At 40.3% G+C, this 21902-nt stretch overlaps 1 protein-coding gene across 13 annotated transcripts in view; it reads right to left on the bottom strand.

The window, feature by feature from the left end:
• Positions 1–21902, bottom strand: part of ASXL1 (ASXL transcriptional regulator 1) — an 80989-nt gene that overhangs the window by 10340 nt on the left and 48747 nt on the right. For all 13 annotated transcript variants that reach the window (NM_015338.6, XM_006723727.4, XM_047439945.1 and 10 more), the window contains 2 exons: positions 732–852; positions 558–655 (listed from right to left, as the gene is read on the bottom strand). In NM_015338.6, coding sequence (NP_056153.2) covers positions 558–655; positions 732–852 — 219 coding nt within the window. The remainder of the gene's footprint in view (positions 1–557; positions 656–731; positions 853–21902) is intronic.

Here is a 21902-nt window from a genome sequence, read left to right as displayed (position 1 = left end):
ACAAGAATGAACAGAATCAGGCTAGGCATGGTGACTCACACCTGTAATCCCAGCACTTTGGGAGGCTGAGGTGGACAGACCACTTGAGGTCAGGAATTCGAGACTAGCCTGGCCAACATGGCAAAACCCTATCTCTACTAAAAATACAAATATTAGCCAGGCACGGTGGTACGTGCCTGTAATCCCAGCTACTCGGGAGGCTGAGGCAGGAGAATTGCTTGAACCCCAGAGGCAGAGGTTGCAGTAAGCGGAGATCATGCCACTGCACTCCAGCCTGAGCGACAGGCGCGACTCCATCTCAAAAAAAAAAAAAAAAAAAAAAAAAAAGAATGAACAAAATCACTCAGCCAAGGTAAAGAAAGAGAAAAAACTTACTCTGCTCAAACCTACTGTTCACTTTTCCTGCGGCCCCCTGTTAAATGCTACTAACAGCTGGAGACCAGACTTCTATTCTTCACTCTCTGAACATGTTCACAGCTCACTACAGGAGAAGGAGGGATCTTGCCTTATACCTGTCATCATTCATCCTCCCAGGCTAGGCTCTACCTCTTCCTTACCTGTGAGGAAGCTCTGTAGCTGTCCCTGGGATTGGAAAGAGGTCGACTCTGAGATTCTGTAGAACAGGATGCGTTCGAAGATGTTTCATCAAGAGATACTGGAAGAGAGGAAAATAAAGGTTAGTCCCTAGTGCCTGCTGTGGCTCCCTCACCCATCCATTAAAGGGTCCTTACCATCGTTTTCACCACTCACAGTGCTGGCTTCATTAGACCCACAGCTCTCCACATCAGCCGTGTCCTCTGGCTCCTCTCCCTCCACTGTAGCTGGATGGCGAGACCACTGCAGGGCATCCTTCTGTGACAGCAAGGTACAACTCAGGTGAACAAAACCCTACAAATTCTTAAAGCAAGGCAGTCATTCCTAAATGTGTATGCTTTTGAAAAAGAGGGATTTAGAATACTGACAAGTTCCTAACCCTTTCTAACTGACCTTTTTCTCAGCAAGTTCTTTTCATAAATATATCATTAAGAAAGTTAGATACACTTTTGCATTCAAACATTCATTAAACATTTATAGGGTGCCTCCTATAAGCTATACCATGTTAGTTCTGGGGAGGGTGGAGTGCTAAGGAGCAGGAATCAAGGCCCTGCTCTCAAGGAGCTCAAATAAGTAGGGGGGTCAATTAAACTGATTACAATACAAAGTACAGTACATAGGTGAACATGGAGAGCCGTGGCAGCCCAGAAGAGGGGCACCTAACTTCAATGAGTTGAGCGAAAGACGGCATGGAGGTGAATAACGATCAGGGAAGTAACACATCCAAAAGGATGTGTTGCTTAAGCTGGGTTTTAAAATAAATTAGCAACTAGACAGACAGGTTGGCAGTAGAGAGATTGTAGGAAGTTTCTAGATAGTGGGATGAGCAAATGTGAAAGAATATTCCAAACTCAGGGAAACTAGGGCTGTGGGGAACTCAATATGCAGGAAGCTAGAGAGGGCACGAGGGCAGATGGTAAGACCCATGTGGAGGGATCAAGAATTTGATTGTTCCGGAGTCACTGAAGAATATTAACTACAGGAATGATTTGAGTTTTCGGAATTTCATCTGGCAACCGCGGGAAGCCTAGAGGCAGGAAGAAGAGGTAGACACTATGAAAGATGTCCAACAAAAAATGCCAAAGATCTAAACCAAAGATTGTGGCTACAGGGCTAGAGTGTAGAGGAGAACTCCATCCCAAATTTCACCTCCTAAGAAAAGCTTCTTCCAATAGACTCACGACATGTAGACTCAGAATTAAACTCTACCCATTCCCAAGAAGAACTTGGGAGTTATCTCACACCTCAAAACTACAAAGAGTGTGGATGAGAATACTGGCAGTTGGAGACAAGAAGAAGATAAGTTGGGGCAGAGGAGGAGAATGTCTTCTTTGAATAAAAGTATGTGAAAAAGAGTTGATAAAGTCATGATTCTGCTAAAAAGGCACCATAAATTTAAAACAGGTGCCCACAACAATCTAACTCATCAATTTCATGAGTCTCTTGATCCACTACATTGAAGTTTCATCAATTTATTTTCATTAGTTTTAGCCAAAATCATGTATCTTAAATTAATAAAAAAGAGGCCAGGTGCAGTGGCTCACTCACACCTGTAATCCCAGCACTTTGGGAGGCTGAGGCAGGTGGATCACGAGGTCAGGAGATTGAGACCATCCTGGCCAACACGGTGAAACCCTGTTTCTACTAAAATACAAAAAATTAGCCAGGTGTGGTGGCACGCGCCTGTAGTACCAGCTACTCGGGAGGCTAAGGCAGGGGAATCACTTGAACCCAGGAGGTGGAGGATGCAGTGAGCTGAGATTACGCCACTGCACTCCAGCCTGGCGACAGAGCAAGACTCCATCTCAAAAAAAAAAAAAAAAAAAAAAAAGAAAGAAAAAAAAGAAAACAGTTTTCTACATCTTTACCTCTTTTCCTTACTGGCCATACATGGTCTTCAGAATCAAAAGCTAAATAATATTTTTAGTTATGCTTATTGACTGCCATGTTCTTGGTATAATAAAACAAATTTAATCTCTCTTCTCTCATGGGCAAACTAAGATAAAATACTCCTTAATGAATTAAGAAAGTCTATTACACTGGCAAAGTTACCCCAAATCTCCAGTTCTGACAAGAGTATGAGAAAATCATACATACACCCTTGATGAAAGTAAAAATGGCATAAAAAGGTTCACATGCTGCCAACGGAAAACTATTAGCCAAAACCTAAAAAATATATATGTATCTTTTATCCCAATACGAGATTTACACAGGACATGAAAAATATTGATTCTTACAAAGGAGAAAACAAATCAATTAAACTACATTAAAATTAAGACCTCCTATTCATCAAAAAACATTATTACCTACAGAGCTGAAAAAGATATCTGCAACTTACATAACCAATAAAGAACTTGTATTTAGACTACATTTATAAATCAGGCCGGGCATGGTGGCTTGCACCTGTAATCCCAGTACTTTGGGAGGCCAAGGCGGATGGATCACTTGAGGTCAGGGGTTCAAGACAAGCCTGGTCAACATGGTGAAACCCTGTCTCTACTAAAAATACAAAAATTAGCTGGGCGTGGTGGCGCACACCTGCAGTCCCAGCTACTTGGGAGGCTGAGGCAGGAGAATCACTTGAACGAAGGAGGCAGAGGTTAGTGAGCCAAGATTGTGCCACTGTACTCCAGCCTGGGTGACAGAGCCAGACTCCTTCTTGGGGGCGGGGAGAGAGGGGGAACAAATATAAATCAATGGGCAAAAGGCAACTCAGAAGAAAAATAAAAGATGTGAATTAGGCACTGCACAAGAGGATACTGAAGTAGCCAAAACATATAAAAGGGTATTTAATCTCACTAACAATAAGGAAAATGCAAAATAATGCAAATTAAAACCGCAATGAGATACTACCACATCCATCAGAATGGCTACAATTAAAGTTTGACAATATCAAGTAGTGTTAATTAGGAGTAGAACAAGTACACTGAAAACAGATCCAAGCATTTGAGAATACAATTTGGCCTTATCTGGTACAGTTGAAGATACAAACATCCTCTGACCCAGCAACGTCCCTCCTAGGCTTGGATTCCTTAGAGAAGTACATGCACATCTACACAAATCACAACCCACATGTTCATGATGCAGCATTTGAAATCTGGATTATAAACAATCAAAGTGGCTGCCAAAGGCAGAATCAAATTGTAGTACATTCAATAAATGGATGATTATACAGCAACAAAAAATGAATGAACTATAGCTACTAACGACATAGATGAATATTAAAAACAAAATAGTGAATGAAAGCCAGATACAAAATAATGCATAGTTGATGATTCCGTTTGTGAAAAGTTCAAAATAAGCTCAACTAAACTACAGCATTAGGAATGCAAAGACGGGTAGGTAATCTAAAGGAAAGCAAGAAAATAACTTTCATAAAGTCAAGACAGAAGTTACCTTCAGCTGGAAGAATGGGGCTGTGACTGGGAAGGGGCAGTGGGGGGTAGGGGAGGTGCGCCTGGCTGCTGGCCATATTTGATGTCGTGATCTAAGTGGCAGTTACAGGGTGTTCACTTTATAATAATTCCTTAAGCTGAACATTTGTGTCCTATGCATTCACTGTATTACATTCCCACAATTATAAAAGTTTAAAAACAAAAAATTTTAAGGTATTTCCTTCAAGGAACACTACCACAGATAGCCATTTAAAAGAAAGCTGTACAGCATTTAATGACAAGAGAAACGATGATACACAAGCTTAATTAGGCAATTAAATTCATACAGTATGATTCTATCATCTTTTTTAAAAAATGAAAATTTGAATGTGTTTGCATAGAAAAATGCAAGAGAAATTCTTACTAAGCTGTTGGCCACCACCATCTCTAGGTGGCAGTTTTTTTGTTTGTTTTTTGAGACAAGAGTCTCGCTCTGTCACCCAGGATGGAGTGCAGCGGCATGATCTCGGCTCACTGCAACCTCCTCCTCCTGGGTTCAAGCGATTTTCCTGCCTCAGCCTCCCGAGCAGCTGGGATTACAGGTGGCTGCCACCACGCCCAGCTAATTTTTGTAGTTTTAGTAGATATGGGGTTTCACCATGTTGGCCAGGATGGTCTTGAAATCCTGACCTCAGGTGATCCACCCACCTCAGCCTCCCAAAGTACTGGGATTACAGGTGTGAGCCACCGTACCTAGCCTAGGTGGTAGAGTTTTAGTAAGTGCTTTATATTCTTTTCAATTGTGGGTATTTTCTACTATTAACATGTATTGTTTTCTGTGATCAAGAAAATAACAATGAAAAAGAAAAATTAGGTGTTAAATGCTTTACCAAGAGCTAAATCAAAATTTCCTTCCTCTAGGTCCTAGAGTCTGGGGAAACCAAGTACTGTTTACAAATCTCATTAGTTAAACAAACAGGAATAGGGCCTGGTTGTCTGCAATTCAAACTACCCAGAAGTTTCTAAAGCCATGCATTTTCAGTAAAAAGACAAGGAAAACAAAACTTTTAAGAGTAAGATTTGCTATTCTAATACTGCATAATTTTTATTGTACAGACAGGGTCTTGGTCTGTTGCCCAGGCTGGTCTCAAAGTCCTGGGCTTGGCCAGGTGCAGTGGCTCAAGCCTGTAATTCCAGCATTTTGGGAGGCCAAGCCAGGCAGATCACTTGAGGTCCAGAGTTCGAGACCAGCCTGACCAACATAATGAAACCCTGACTCTACTTAAATACAAAAATTAGTTGGGTGTGGTGTACATGCCTGTATTCCCAGCTACTCGGGAGGTTGTGGCAGGAGGATCGCTTGAACCCGGGACATGCAGGCTGCAGTGAGCCAAGATCATGCCATTGCACTCCAGCCTGGGCAACAGGGTGAAACTCCATCTCAAATACATAAATAAATAAATAAATAAAAAATGCTGGGTATTGTGGCCCACACCTGTAATCCAGCACTTTGGGAGGCCGAGATGGGGGGACCACCTGAAGCTGGGAGTTCGAGACCAGCCTGGGCCAACATGATGAAACCCCCCCTACTAAATATACACACACACACAAAAAATTAGCTAGGCATGGTGGCACACACCTGTAATCCCAGCTACTTGGGAAGCTGAGGCACAAGAATCGCTTGAACCTGGGAGGTGGAGGTTGCAGTGAGCTGAGATCATGCCATTGCACTTCAGCCAGGGCGACAGAGTGAGACTGTCTCAAAAAATAAAAAATTAAAAAAAAAAATCAAACTCCTGGACTCAAGCGATCCTCCCACCTCAGCCTCCCTAAGTGCTAGGTTACAGGCCAATTCTACAATTAGCCACATCCAGCCAATTCTGCATTTGTAAAAGATCATTAATCTTTCCATATAAACTCTATAAGTTTGACATAATTGACTTTTCATACATTAACCCTATATGTCTGACAAAAACGAAATGGGTTACTGAAAATAACAGGTGCCAGAAAACATGCCCTAGGATTCAAGATTTTAACATTTTACAAGAATAATTTTCATCATGAAGCTTTTAAAAAAATTAATAATGGGTGATCTTTCACTAAATCCTACATATAAAAAATTCTATAGGCCGGGCACGGTGGCTCATGCCTGCAATCCCAGCACTTTGGGAGGCCAAGGCGGGTGGATCACAAGGTCAGGAGTTCGAGACCAGCCTGGCCAACATGGTGAAACCCCGTCTCTACTAAAAATACAAAAATTAGCCGGGCATGGTGGTGCACGCTTGTAATCCCAGCTACTCGGGAGGCTGAGGCACAAGAATCACTTGAACCTGGAAGGCAAAGGTTGCAGTGAGCCAAGATCATGCCATTGCACTCCAGCCTGGGAGACAGTGCAAGACTCTGTCTTTAAAAAAAAAAAAAAAAAAAAAAATTAACCAATCCTTCACCACACAGTTACCATGAGAGGGAGAGTGTGAGATGGGGAGTGTGAAGACAATTAAGATCTACTCTCAGCAAATTTCAAGACACTGGGATATTTGAATGTGAACTGCATACTAGATGGTAATGCTGCATTAATGTTAAATTTTCTGAGTGTGATAACTGTATTGTGCTTACGTAGGAGAATGCCCTTGGATCAATGTATACCTCCTCCTATCCTTCCCCTATTTTTTTAAATTAAAGTTTAATTTAAACACAGTGATATGCACAGATCTTAGGTGTACCATTTAATGAGTTCTAACAAATGCATATCAAGATATAGAACATTTCCAACACCCCCAAAAGTTTCCTTGTGCCCCTTCCTAATCAACCCCCATTTGAAACCACCCCTCTCGGCCGGGCGCGGTGGCTCACACCTGTAATCCCAGCACTTTGGAAGGCCAAGGCAGGCGGATCACGAGGTCAGGAGATCGAGACCATCCTGGCTAACACGGTGAAACCCCGTCTCTACTAAAAATACAAAAAAAAAAAAAAAAATTAGCCAGGAGTGGTGGCGGTCGCCTGTAGTCCCAGCTACTCGGGAGGCTGAGGCAGGAGAATGGCATGAACCCGGGAGGCGGAGCTTGCAGTGAGCCGAGATCACGCCACTGCACTCCAGCCTGGGTGACAGAGCCAGACTCCGTCTCAAAAAAAAAAAAAAAAAAAAGAAAAGAAACCACCCCTCTCACCCCACGAAGGCAATCATTGTTCTGACTTCTATCTCCATAACGTACTTTTGCCTGTTCTTGGTCTTCATGTAAATGGACTCATACATATATATTCTTTTGTATCTGGCTTCTTTCACTCAGCCTGTTTATGCTATTCATCTACATTGTTGCATGCATCAGTAGTTCATTATTTGTTATTACAGACTAATATTCTCATATACAACCATTTGTATATTCTCTCTTGATGGACATTTGGGTTATTTCCAGGTTCTAGCTATTATGAATAAAGCTATTATGAACATTCTTGTAAATTTTTGGAGACGTTTTCATTTCTCCTGAATAACTATCTAGGAGTAGAAATGCCGAGTCATAAGATGGATGAAAGCTAACTTTATTAAAAAAAAAATTATACTCCCAACAGCACTTGAGGAGAGTTCCAGTTGATCCAAATCCTCACCATTATTTGAAGCTGGCAGTTTTATTTTAGCCATTCTAGTGGGAGTATAATGGTACCTCATTGTGGTTTTAATTTTAATTCAGAGTGCTAGATTTCAATGATTTTCATTTTAATTTGCCTAATGTCTAAAGATGTTGAGCACTTTTTTTTTTTTGAAGTTTTTTTTTTTTTAAATTTTACTTTAAGTTCTGGGATACATGTGCAGAATGTGCAGGTTTGTTACATAAGCATACATGTGCCATGGTGGTTTGCTGCACCTATTAACCCATCATCTAGGTTTTAAGCCCCGCATGCATTAGGTATTTTTCCTAATGCTCTCCCTCCCCTTTCCCCCCACCCCCCAACAGGCCCCGGTGTGTGATGTTTCCCTCCCTGTGTCCATGGGTTCTCACTGTTCACTCCCATTTATGAGTGAGAACATGGGGTGTTTGGTTTTCTGTTCCTGTGTTAGTTTGCTGAGGATGATGGTTTCCAGCTTCATCCACGTCCCTGCAAAGGGCATGAACTCATTCTTTTTTATGGCTGCATGAGCACTTCTTAATGTGCTTATTGGCCATATTCATATCTTCCTCTTTAAGTATCTGTTCAAGTCTTTCACCCATTTTTTTTTTGAGTTGTCTTTTAAAAACTGTAGTTGTAGGGATTCTTTATTCTGAACCTTTTTAATACTGATGATGAGTACGTATTCCTTTTACAAATACATTTTGAACATTTTTATATGGAAAGAAATTCAATTTTACAGGAAAGCTGCAAAAGCTTTTCATTCTACTTTTGCAAGAGTAAAACAGTACAAAGAAGACTTGCTGTATACTTTTTACTCACGTTCATCTATTAATACAAATAAGTGTTTCTAAAATGCATAACGTATACTAGTTTGGCAAGGTAACTAGAAAAGAAGCTAATGTTGAAAAAAAATAAACCATCTGTAATAAGTAAACCAAAATAAAATGTTCTCCCACAGGTCAGATGTTTTAAAAAATACAAGACACTACGAATGTGGCAAATCTGAGCAAAGGAGAGCTAACATTTAAATTGATAAAGTTTAAACTGCCCAAGATTAGATTCTGAAGTAAAAAAAAAAGCAAAATATCAGTTATGCCTTTCCTTATATCTTTCCTGAGCAAAAAATAAGTACTATCTCTTAGGAGAAGGCTGACTTGAAGGCTGTGAAAAACTAAGAAAACACCAACCATTCAACAGTATACTAGAATTCCTTTCAATGCATAATAGAAACAAGAAGGGATTAGAAAAGCATGTCATAATTTCCAGATAGCATAATTATTTACATTAAAGATCCAAGAGACTCAGACCTAGTAAAAGATTTTGGCCACATTGTGACATTTGAGATCACATTAAAAAAAAAAAAAAGGAAAAATCAAGTGATACTAACATCACCAATTAACATCATCAATTAGAAAATTTATCCATCAGCCGGGTGTGGGGGCTCATGCCTGTAATGCCAGCATTTCGGGAGGCCGAGGTGGGTGGATCATCTGAGGTCAGGAGTTCAAGACCAACCTGGCCAACATGGTGAAACCCTGACTCTAGTAAAAATACAAAAATTAGCCCGGCGTGGTAGCGCACGCCTGTAATCCCGGCCACTCAGGAGGCTGAGGCAGGAGAATTGCCTGAATGGGAGACGGAGGTTGCAGTGAGCTGACATGGTGCCACTGCACTCCAGCCTGGGCAACAAGAGCGAAACTCTGTCTCAAAAAAAAAAAAAAAGAAAATATATCCATTTGCCAGGGTTGAAGAAAAAAGAAAACAAAAATATAATTTATAACAAAAATATAATTTATAACAAAAACGAACGTAAGTTACCCAGGGATAAATTCCACAAAAGAAATATCATCATTTTATGAAGAAAACATAAAACTTTATCAAGAAAGGCTTAAAACCTTGGTAAGGCCAGGCATGTTGGCTACACTTGTAATCCCAGCACTTTGGGAAGCTGAGGAAGGAGGATCACTTGAGCCCAAGAGTTCAAGACCAACATGAGCAACGTAAGGAGACCCCCGCTCTACAAAAAAATTCAAAAATTAGCTGCACATGGTGACGCGCACCTGTAGTCTCAGCTACTCGGGAGGCTGAGGTGGGAGCATTGCTTGAGCCCAGGAGTTTCAGGTTGCAGCGAGCTATGATCGCACCACTGCACTCTAGCCTGAGAGACAGAACAAGACCCTGTCTCAAAAAAACAAAAACAAACAAACCCTAAATAAATGGAGAGCTATACCATGTTCTTGATTAAGAAGATTTTATATCATAAAGATGTCAATTTGGCTGGGCATGGTGGCTCAAGCCTGTAATCCCAGCACTTTGAGAGGCTAAGGCGGGCAGATCACGACGTCAGGAGTTCAAGACCAGCCTGACCAACATGATGAAACCCCATCTCTACCAAAAATACAATAATTAGCCAGACATGGTGGCGTGCACCTGTAATCCTAGCTACTCGCAAGGCTAAGGCAGGAGAATCGCTTGAAGCTGGGAGGCGGAGATTACAGTAGGCCAAGATTGTGCCACTGCATTCCAGCCTGGGTGACAGAGCAAGACTCCGTCTCAAAAAAAAAAAAAAAAAAAAAAAAAAAAAAAAAAAAAAAAAGATGTCAATTCTTCCCATTTTGATTTGTCGATTCAATGCAGTTCCAATAAAGCTCTCAACACGATCTTTTACAGAATTTTACATGGAAAAGCACAGGGTCACAAAGAGCCAAGATACTCTTGAAGAACAAGATGAGAGGAGTTGCTTTTTAGAAAGTTTTAGTAATTAAATGAGTAGACTGGTGATGCTAGGGACTAGGAGGAGGTGAGAATAGGAATGACCTACTGGGGTTTCCTTTTGGGGTGATGGAAATATTATGCAATCAGACCATGGTGATGGTTGCATAACTTCATGAATATACTAGAAGCCACTGAATTGTATACTTTAAATTGGTGAACTGTATGGTCTATGAATTAAATCCCAATTAAAGTAGGTAAACAATGGCTTACAAAATTTAACTGATAGTTCTAAAACGTATTTTTTGTTTTTGTTTTTTGAGACAGGGTCTCACTGTGCGGGCCCAGGCTAAAGTGCCACGGTGCTATCACAGCTCATTTGCAGCCTTGACCTCCCAGGCTTAAGTGATCTTCCCACCTCAGCCTCTCAAGTAGCTGGAACTAGAGGCATGCACCACCACTCCAGGCTAATTTATTTATTTATTTATTGTATTTATTTATTATTATTATTTTTTTGATACAGAGTCTTGCTCTGTCATCTGGGCTGGAGTACAGTGGCTCCATCTCAGCTCACTGCAATCTCTGCCTCCCGGGTTCAAGCAATTCTCCTGCCTCAGCCTCCCAAGTAGCTGGGGTTACAGGCGCCTGCCACTATGCCCAGCTAATTTTTTGTATTTTTAGTAGAGACGGGGTTTCCCCATGTTGGCCAGGCTAGTCTCGAACTCCTGACCTCGTGATTCGCCTGCCTCAGCCTCCCAAAGTGCTGGGATTACTGACATGAGTCACCGCGCCCGGCCAACTTTTTTATTTTTTGTAGAGATGGGGTTCTTGCCATATTGCCCAGGCTGCTCTTGAACTCCTGAGCGCAAGCAATCCACCCTCCTCAGCCTCAAGTGCTAGGACTACAGGTGTGAGCCACCACACCTGGCCTAAAACAAAAGATTCTGATCAAAAAAAAAAAATTTTTTTTAAACCTACACATACCTATTAAAGTATACAGAAAGTTTAAAGATCCAAAGTCAAAATGCAACTTTGGAAAACTGTGGCTAAAATGGTCCATTAATGATGTTTTAATTTTCTCATGAAAATCCTAAAGAAGAATTAAAACAAGGAAAGCAATCTCCATACATGCTTGAGAAAAGGCTTCTCCATTTAAACAAAATACTTAACATAAAAAGGTTCTCTTGAATGTGAAATCCATTTGCATTATCAAAAGCAATTTCAATATTATAGATGTCAACGAAAGAAAAGGAAGAGCTGTTATTTAAAAAATGAACACACTCTTGGAATATAACGTAAAGAAATTGTCTGAGTTCTTACTAATAATAAGAAAGGAGTTTCTATCAACCAGAAAGAAATTCTTGTAAGTTGCCACTCACAGCTGAAACTTTCTAGCTAATGGTGACCACAGGTCCACAATCCCTTACCTGAAATCTTTGGGTCTAGATGTGTTTTTATTTAGAATTTCTTGAATTTTAGAATGTTAATATATGCATATATTGTGTATCAGCACCACCAGCAACCCATAATCAAACACATTAATTTTTAAAAAAATAAAATGTAGACAAAGACCAAGTGAAACAAATAAGCTAACCTAGACCTGTCAATCTACATCAGAGTTTTGACACAAAATGAGTTTACACAGGTCAGGTTTTACTACTAAATCAGTCAAGGGGAAAAAAATTCAGTTCTCATAATATTTTGGATTTCAGAATTGTTAATAAGGGACTATAGATCTGTATCAGGAATTTGAAGAGTTCATCATTAAACACAAGGAATTACAGACTTTTTAAGCATAAAACTTGATGTCATGATCGTAACAAAGCATGTTTCTCAAAACTTTTAAAAAAGATTTATAAGTTTTATATTTTTCTCATCATAATTACAAAATGCAAAGAAAATGTAATGAAATCTTTTCACTAACCCCCACAGAAAGAGCCTCCAAGTCACTTCCATTTTACCCAAGCATACAATATGAAAAGGTAAGGGAATAGTCCCTTAGAGAAATTCTCACACGTTTGTACATGGAGATTAAGGATAAGTGTTGCTGCAGTGTTTATAACAGGGATTAGAAAACAGTGAAAAACGCACATATTCATAGCAGGGGACTGGATAAATAAAATGTAGCTATATTGATATGGTACACTATTAAACATTAAAGAAAATAAAATACACTTATATAAACAAACATACCACATACCTCCATATGAATAGGAGGATGCACGTTAAATTAATGATAGTGGTTGTAGCTACTGGGAAGAACAGGGGCAACAGGCCAGGGTGGCAGGTGGGGACAGAGGGATTGGGGTTTGGCATAAAAGCCAAGGGCATTTTCCACTTTCTCTGTACAAACGCTTGAGCTTCCATATTTAAACATGGCAAAATAGAAGTTGGTTAAGGGGTATAAAATTACAGTTAAATAGAAGGAGTAAGTTCTAATATTCAATAGTAGAATAGGAAAATTATAGTAAACAATAATTTACTATATATTTCAAAATAACTAGAAAAGAAGAATTTTAATGTTCCCAACACAAAGAAAAATGTCTATGTATTGCATACAGGTATCAAAATATCACCTGTACCCCCAAAATACATATAACTATTATATCTCAATTTTCAAAATTTGTAGTGTACTGCATTGAATCTACAAATCAAATTGGGAAGAACTGACATCTTTACGATATAGAATCTTCTTAATCAACAACATGGCATAGCTGCTCTCCATTTATTAAGGGTTTGTTTTGTTTTTGTTTTTGTTTTCTTTTTTAAATATTTTTTCTTTTCTTTTGTTTAATGGTATTTGGGGGTTGTGGATAAACATGGCAAAATGAACATATACTTCTTTGCATCTTCCTGAGGGTTCACTAGAATGACTATAAGGGAACAGTAAAAGTGTACATGCATAAAGACAAAGAGTAAGGGGAAGGAAAAAGGCAGTAGATGAGGGATGTCAACAGAAATCTGAAAGACCAGGTTGAGCAGGAAGGTAAGAAGTAACTGACTCAGCAAAGAAGGAAAGTTGAAGTTTATGGCTGCAGAGGGAAAAGCCACAAAAAGCAAGCCAGTGCTTCAAAAGCCCGGAGCACGCAGGGAAGTGGGAGGCACCAGGAACCACTGCAGACAAGAGTTGAGAGGCAGGGGCTGAGAACAGGAGAACTGTTTCAAACTCTGAATAAAACAGTCAGACCCCCTCAGGTCTCCTTCCTGTCCCTAAACAGTAAGGCAATACACCCTTCTCCCACTCCAGAGGAAAACAGATTTATATTCTGATTAAACTGAACCACGGAAGTTCTGGAACAGAAGACTAGAGGCACAGCTCAAGGGATGGGGCATGGAGTGAGATGCCACACTCTAAATAAGACCAACAATAGAAAATCATGACGCAGGCTGGGCATGGTGGCTCACACCTGTAATCCCAGCACTTTGGGAGGCTGAGGCAGGAAGATCACCTGAGGTCAGGAGTTCGAGACCAGCCTGGCCAACATGGCGAAACCCCATCTATACTAAAAATACAAAAATTAGCCAGGGGTGATGGCGGGCACCTGTAATCCCAGCTACTAGGGAGGCTGAGGCTGGAGAATTGCTTGAACCCAGGAGGTAGAGGTTGCAGTGAGTTGAGATGGCACCACTGCACTCCAGCCTGGGCGGCAAGAGATAAACTCCATCTCAAACAAAACAAAACAAACAAACAAACAAACAAACAAACAAAAAACACCAGAAAATCATGACACCACTAGCTTCCCTCCCCACCTTGGCTCCCAAAGCTCCCCAAATAGTAGTAGTACTATGACCCCAACCACAGCCTACTGTCATGTAGATGGCAAGAGATGAAAGGATTTCTCCTCCTGGAAAAAGTGACCAGCCTAGGAGAAAACACTTTCAGAAATGGATAACAGGAGGATCCCCTAAAAGCATCTAGGTCCCCACCCTCTATCACAGCCAATAAACACTGCTCACAAACACAGGATCCATCAGTTTGCTCACTGTTGAGTGACCTATCAAGAACCACCAGCTATTTAAGCACATTGTTATATGAAAGATAATCACAATAAACAAAAGAAGAACTGAAAGGAAACAAAGATAAATAAAATTTCATAGTAAATGTTCTCAAAGAGGCCCAAAACAAACATAGAGTGCTTTTTTTAAAATAAGATATGGGGTGTTGCTATGTTGCCCAGGCTGGACTCAAACTCCTGGTCGTAAGCAATTCTCCCACCTTGGCCTCCCCAGTAGTCGGGACCACAGACACGTACTACAGCTCAGCCAGAATATTTTTTTAAAAAAATAAAGCAACATTAAAGAACATGAACAATCTGCTAGAAATTAAAAATGAGAGGCCAAAAACAACAGATTATCTCCTAGAGAACTGATTAAAAAAAAAAAAGAAAAAGAAGCTCCATTAAGAGAGTCCCACATCCAACAAATAGAAGGTCCAGAGGAAGAAAGCCAAAAGACAGAAATAATACAAGAAATTTTCCCCAAATGAGAAGACTCCAGTTTCCGAGTTTAATAAGGCAAAACACTCAGCATAATGAATGAAAAAGACCCATTCCACAGCATTATCATGAAATCTCAAAACACAGGAGAGAAACAGATCCTAAAATCTTCCGGTCAAAAAAAACACACGATATCCAGAAATCACAATGGCATGTTTCTCAAAAGCAGCTCTGAAGAATGTAGTAGTAAGAGTAACATCTTCTGGAATTCTGAGCCCAACCAACAATCTAGTGTGGAACACAGAATAAAGACATGTAAGGCCTCAATTTACCTCCTAGGCACCTGTTCTCTAGAAGCAACTCTACGTCAATCTGCTCTACATAAATGTATTGTGTAGAGAATGCGCACACAACTAAAGGAGTAACAATAAATGAGATTTGTGTGAGATCTAGGAAAGGCAGGACATACCAGGAGAAAGTGAAGAGAATTCCCAAGGTACATATAAGGAAAGTCCGAGGAAAACAGCCACATGCACGTGAAAAGAGTAGCCAACAGGCCCCAGTTTGCCTGGGAGTTTCCAGTTTTAGCACTGAAAGTCCTACACCCCGGGAAACCCCTCAATCGTGGGCAAACCAGGATGGCTGGCCACCTTACACCACAAACTGTCCATGCGGAGAGCAGGAAAAAAGATGGCTCCAGGAACAAACATTCAGAAAGAAGAATGAAATACGTTGAACACATCAAGAATTGTACAGCTGTTAATAGCACTGGGTTTCATCTTTTGTTTGTAACCCATTTTGTTTTTTATTTCCCATCTTTGTTATTTTATCTACATATTGAATTATGTGAAATATAACATGATTACAAATCAAAACTATATAAAAGGTTATACTCAGAGTAAGTGACACTGCTCCCCACCATCCCTTCCATTTCCATCCCCCTCCAACTCTCCATTCCATTCCTGTTAGTCCCCTAACCAACCTCATTGTTTCCGGTGTATTCTTCTTGTGTTTCTTTTTGTACAAATGATAATATACACATCTGTTTTATTTATCCTTCATCCTTAAACAACAACAACAACAAAATCTGCGTGCCTCAGAGAGTATTTTGCTCTTCAATTTTCCACTTAACAATATATTCTGGAAATTACTCTATCGTTTCATGAAAACTTCCTCATTTTCTTCTCAGCTGCATGATACTCCATGATGTTGATGTATCAAAGTATAACCACTCCCTCATGTACCACCAGCATTTAGATGGCTTTTAATATTCTGCAACTACAAATACTACTGCCTTGAATAATCAAATGGAAACAATCGGTCAAAAGGTAGATGCAAATATAATTTTGTTAATAGTATCAAATCCCCCAACAAAAAAAAGTATCCATTTGTTTTCTTGACCTGGGGACAGTGGCTCACGCCTATAATCCTAACACTTTGGAATGGCAAGGCGGGAGGATCACTTGAGCCCAGGAGTTCAAGATAAGCCTAGGCAACATAGTGAGACCCCCATGTCTGCAAAAAAAAAAAAAAATTAGCCAGCCAGGATGCATATGCCTGTAGTCCCAGCTACTTGGGAGGCTGACGTGAGCTACGATCCCACCATTGCCCTCCAGCCTGGGAGACAGAGTGAGACCTGTTTCCAAAAAAAAAAAAAAAAAAATTTATTTCTTTTCTTAAGGGTAATGCAACAGTGCTTGTTTTCCCACAGCACTAAAAAGAGGAAGTGGTTGTGATACATTTAAAATTTTTACTGACATATACTTAAAGTGAATAACATAACCACACTGAAGGGGCACAAGGACAGATCTAACCCAAGTAATTCTTCAAGTATTTTGACTATATATCCTTAGGCTAAAAACCTAAATGAACTATAAACAAATACTGAGTTCTAGTTAGATTTGTTCTTCCACAGTGGAATGGGTTAACAATTATAAAACTACTAAGTGTTTATACTAAAACTGAGCAAGTAGGTAGATACAAAGTACATAATAGAAGCCAGGTTGTTCAATGTTGGAGTAGCAAGATGCACATATAGAAAGGTAAAGTTAGAATGAAACCCCCAGTAAGAGACTAATTTCAAGGTATTAGTATGAATACTATATTTACCTATAGACAGACAAAGAGAGAAACAGGTACAGATGTATACATGCATACTATTCTAAGCTAAAAGAAACCAGAGCTCCCCAGGAAAATGGATGATTCTAGAAGTGGGGCTGGGAAAATATAAGCTAAGCCCAGAACATCTTGCTGGGTCAGAAAGCAGGTAAGTAAAGAAGTGTTCAGGAATGAGGAAAACACATAAAAAGGACACAAAAGCTGGAGTACATGCAATTCCACTGGCCAAATCAGCGACAATTTGTACATTAAAAATGATAGTAAGATTATAACTCAATAATAAAATAAGAATCCATGGGTAGGGCTGGGCATAATGGCTCATGCCTATGATCTCAGCACTTTGGGAGGCCAAAGCGGGTGGATAACTTGAGGTCAGGAGTTCGAGACCAGCCTGGCCAACATGGTGAAACCCCATCTCTACTAAAAATATAAAAGCTGGGTGTGGTGGCACAAACCTGTAATCCCAGCTACTTGTGAGGCTGAGGCAGGAGAATCACTTGAACCCAGGCGGCAGAGGCTGCAGTGAGCCAAGATCGCACTACTGCACTCCAGCCTGGGCAACAGAGCGAGTCTTCATATTTTAAAAAAAAAAAAAAAAAAAAAGGAATCCATGGCCGGGCACAGTGGCTTATGCCTGTAATCCCAGCACTTTGGGAGGCTGAGGCGGGTGGATCGCTTGAGGCCAGGAGTTGGAGAGACAAGCCTGGCCAACATGGTGAAACCGTCTCTACTAAAAAGACAAAAATTAGCCGGGCATGGTGGCAGGCACCTGTAACCCCAGCTACTCGTGAAGCTAAGGAAGATGAATCACTTGAACCCAGGAGACAGAGGTTGCAGTGAGCCGAGATTGTGCCACTACATTCCAGCCTGGGTGACAGAGCGCATGAGACTCCATCTCAAAAAAAAAAAAAAAAAAAAAAAAAAGAATCCATAAATTCACAACGAATAAACAAATGGGGGAATAAATTAAAGCTCTCCCCCTTACTGAAAAACCACAACTAATAGATGTCAGATAAATGGTGGAACTTAAAAAAAAAAAAAATCACCACTTGACAACAACTCTCAGAGTACTAATTTTTTTTTATTTTTTTTATTTTTTTTTTTTTTTGAGACAGAGTCTTGTTCTGTTGCCCAGGCTGGAGTGCAGTGGCACGATCTCAGCTCACTGCAACCTCCATCTCCAGGGTTCAAGCGATTCTCCTGCCTCACCCTCCCCCAGTAGCTGAGATTACAGGCATGCGCCATCATGTCCAGCTAATTTTTTTGTATTTTTAGCAGAGACAGGGTTTCACCATGTTGGCAAGGCTGGTCTCAAACTCCTGACATCAAATGATCCACCCACCTCGGTCTCCCAAAGTGTTGGGATTACAGGTGTGAGCTACTGCACCCAGCCTCAGCGTACTAACTGTTTTAGGTAGGAATCCTTCATCAGTGGATGCTAAAACCAGTGAATGAAAGTACATGAGACTATTCATATAGTCTCAAAGTACAGTAAGTGCCCTCTACCCGAAGTTTCACCTTCCACAGTTTAAATAACCTGTGGTCAACAGCAGTCCAAAAAATTACAGTATTTTGAGAGAGAAAGAAGGATCACATCCACATAACTTTGATTATAGTACATTGTTGCAATTGTTATATTTTATTCTTAGTTATTGTTGTTATTCTTTTACTGTGCCTAATTTAGAAATTAAACTTGGGGGGCTGGGCACAGTGGCTCACACCTGTAGTCCCAACACTTTGGGAGACCAGTGCAGGAGGATCACTTGAGGCCAGAAGTTCATTCAGGACCAGGCTGGGCAACGGTGTAAGACCGTATTTCTAAAAACTAAATAAAGGAATAATAAAATAAAATTTATCAAAAGTACATATGCATAGGAAAAAACACAGTATATATAGGGCTTGGGACTATCTGTAATTTCAGGCACCCACTGGTCTTGAAACATCCCCAGCAGATAAAGGGGACTACTGTATCTCTCTACAAGGTACTATTTATAGGAGAGAAATAAGGCAGACACCACCTTAACCAAGTGTTTGAAGTTATCGTTATCAGAAATCAGACAAACAGGTATCGTGTCTCCTGATAAAATGTACTGAGGAGGACATGCTGAGGTATTCCTGTCAAAAACATTACTTTAATAATGAAAAGCATCAAGACAAATCCATATTGGAGAACTTACTATTAATACAAAATAAATGGTCTGTACTTTAAAAAAAATTAAGTCATAAAAGACAATGTTTGTGAGAACTTTTTCAGATTAAAGAAAATGAGATTTGACAAACAAATGTACCATGTGATCAAGGATGAGATCCTCAACCAGAATTTTGCTTTATAATTGGCATTAGAAAAGAATAGGTAAAATTTCAGTAAAATATGCAGTTTTTTTTTTAAAGATAGGGATCTCACTATTGTTGCCCAGGCTGGAGTACAGTGGCTATTCACAGGGTTGATCATGGCATACTGCAGCCTTCAACTCCTAGGCTCAAGCGATCCTCCCACCTCAGCCTCCTGAGTAGCTAAGACTATAGGTGTATACCACCAAGCCCAGCTCAAAGTATGCACATTAGACAGCAAGCAGTACCATATCAACATTAATTTTCTGACATTGATAATTGCAATGTGGTTATGAAAGAGAATGTACTTGTTGTTAATAACTATTTAGAGGTTAGGGGGCATTATGTCTGCACTTTAGTACATGAAAAAAATAACATGTAGCTAGAATTATAAAGCAAATACAATCGTGTCTGAAATTATGTCAAAATTACAAGTTATTGAAAAATCAGCTATATACCTGCTAGGGCAAAAAACTGGGAAACAAATTTTTAAAACAAATTCCATGTATAATAGCATCGAAAATAAAAATAGCTGAGGCTGGGCATGGTGGCTCACGCCTATAATCCCAGCACTTTGGAAGGCCAAGGCAGGTAGATCACGAGGTCAAGAGTTTGAGAACAGCCTGGCCAACATGGTGAAACCCTGTCTCTACTAAAAATACAAAAAATTAGCCAGGTATGGTGGTGCCCGCCTGTAATCCCAGCTACTAGGGAGGCTGAGGCAGGTGAATCGCTTGAAACTGGGAGGCAAAGGTTGCAGTGAGCCAAGATTCCGCCACTGCACTCCAGCCTGGGCAACAAGAGCAAAACGCCATCTCAAAAAAATAAATTAATTTAAAAAATTAAAAAAATAAAAATACTTGAGAAAAAAATGTTAAGGCATGCAAGACCTCATTGGAAACTATAAAACACTAAGAAAAATTAAAGATGATAATAACTGGAGATTATACCATGTTCATGGATTGAAAAAAAATGCTGTTGAGAAGTTAATTCTCCCTACAAAGTCAACATAATCCTAATCAAAATCCCAATTTTTTTAATTGATAAAAATTGACAAGTTGATTCTAAAATTTATATGAAAATGCAAAGAAGGCTGGGCATGGTGGCTCACACACATAATCCCAGCGCCTTGGGAGCTTGAGGCAGGAGGATGGCTTGAGCCCGGAAGTTTTAGGATGCAGTAAGCTAGGACTGCGTCACTGCACTACAGCCTGCCGACAGAGCAAGACCTTGTCTCTAAAAAAGAAAGAAAAATAAATGCAAAGAACCAAAAGCAGTCCAAGCAATTTTAAGAAGGAAGAACACAGAGGATTCACACTACTAACACTATCCAATCTCATGACTTACTAAAATCAGGAGAGTAAAATATTGGTATAAAAATAGATAGATTAATGGAACAGAACAGAGTACAAAAACATATCCTTATGTATGGACTCAACTGATTTTTGACAAAGGCACCAAAGCTATTCAATAAAGAGGGGAACATCATTTCAACAAATAAAGCTGAAACAAGATAAACACGTAAAAACGCAAACCTGAATGACTACCTCGAACCGTACATAGAAATTAATTTGAGGCCAGGCATGGTGACTCAAGCCTGTAATCCCAGCAACTTTGGGAGGCTGAAGCGGGCAGGTCACCTGAGGTCAGGAGTTCAAGACCAGGCTGGCAAACATGGTAAAACCCCATCTCTACTAAAAATAGAAAAATAGGCATGGTGGCAAGTGCTTATAATCCCAGCTACTCAGGAGGCTGAGGTAGGAGAATTGCTTGAACCTGGGAGGTGGAGATTGCAGTGAGCCAAGATTGTGCCACTGCACTCCAGCCTGGGTGACAAAGCTAGACTCCCTCTCAAAAATAAAAATTAATTTGACATAAATCGCACACCTAAGAGCCAAAAATATAAAGCCAAAAAATATTTTTGTGCACTATTAATAGATAGGCAAAAGTTCCTAAAAACATATTGTTTTAATGTGGATAAAACAGACTTCCTCAAAACAAAAAAACTTCTAATCAAAAGACACTTTAATAAAAATGCAAAGGCAGGCCAGGCCAGGCCAGGCATGGTGGCTCACCAGCACTTTGGGAGGCTGAGGTGGGATGATCACTTGAGCCTAGGAGTTTGAGACCACCCTAGGCAACATAGTGAGACGTCATCTCTACAAAAAACAGACATAATGGGCCAGGAGTGGTGGCACGTGTCTGTAGTCCCAGCTACTCAAGAGACTGAGGTGGGAGGATCACTTTGAGCCCAGGAAGTTGAGGCTGCGGTGAGTTGTGACTGTGCTACCGCACTCTAGCGTGGGTGACAGAGGAAGACCCTGTCTCAAAAAAAAGAAAAGAAATAAAAGGCAGGCCACAGACTGGGAGAAAATATTTGCAAAACACATACTCGGGATACAGTATGTATCCAGAGTGTGTATATGTGTGTGTATACATATATTTCAATTCTTTTTTTTCCCCCCGAGACGGAGTCTAGCTCTGTTGCCCAGGTTGGAGAGCAGTGGCACGATCTCAGCTCACTGCAACCTCCACCTCCCAGGTTCAAGCAATTCTTGTGCCTCAGCCTTCTGAGTAGCTGGAATTACAGGTACCCTCCACCACACCCAGCTAATTTTTCTGTATTTTTAGTAGAGATGGGGTTTCACCATGTTGACCAGGCTAATCTCAAACTCCTAAACCAAAGTGATCCACCTGCCTCAGCCTCCCAAAGTGCTGGGATTACATGCGT

Source organism: Homo sapiens, chromosome 20 (genome assembly GCF_000001405.40).
Source record: "Homo sapiens chromosome 20, GRCh38.p14 Primary Assembly".
Taxonomy (NCBI): domain Eukaryota; kingdom Metazoa; phylum Chordata; class Mammalia; order Primates; family Hominidae; genus Homo; species Homo sapiens.
Note: the sequence above shows the minus strand (reverse complement) of the source record. Positions and strands in the feature narration are given on the sequence as shown.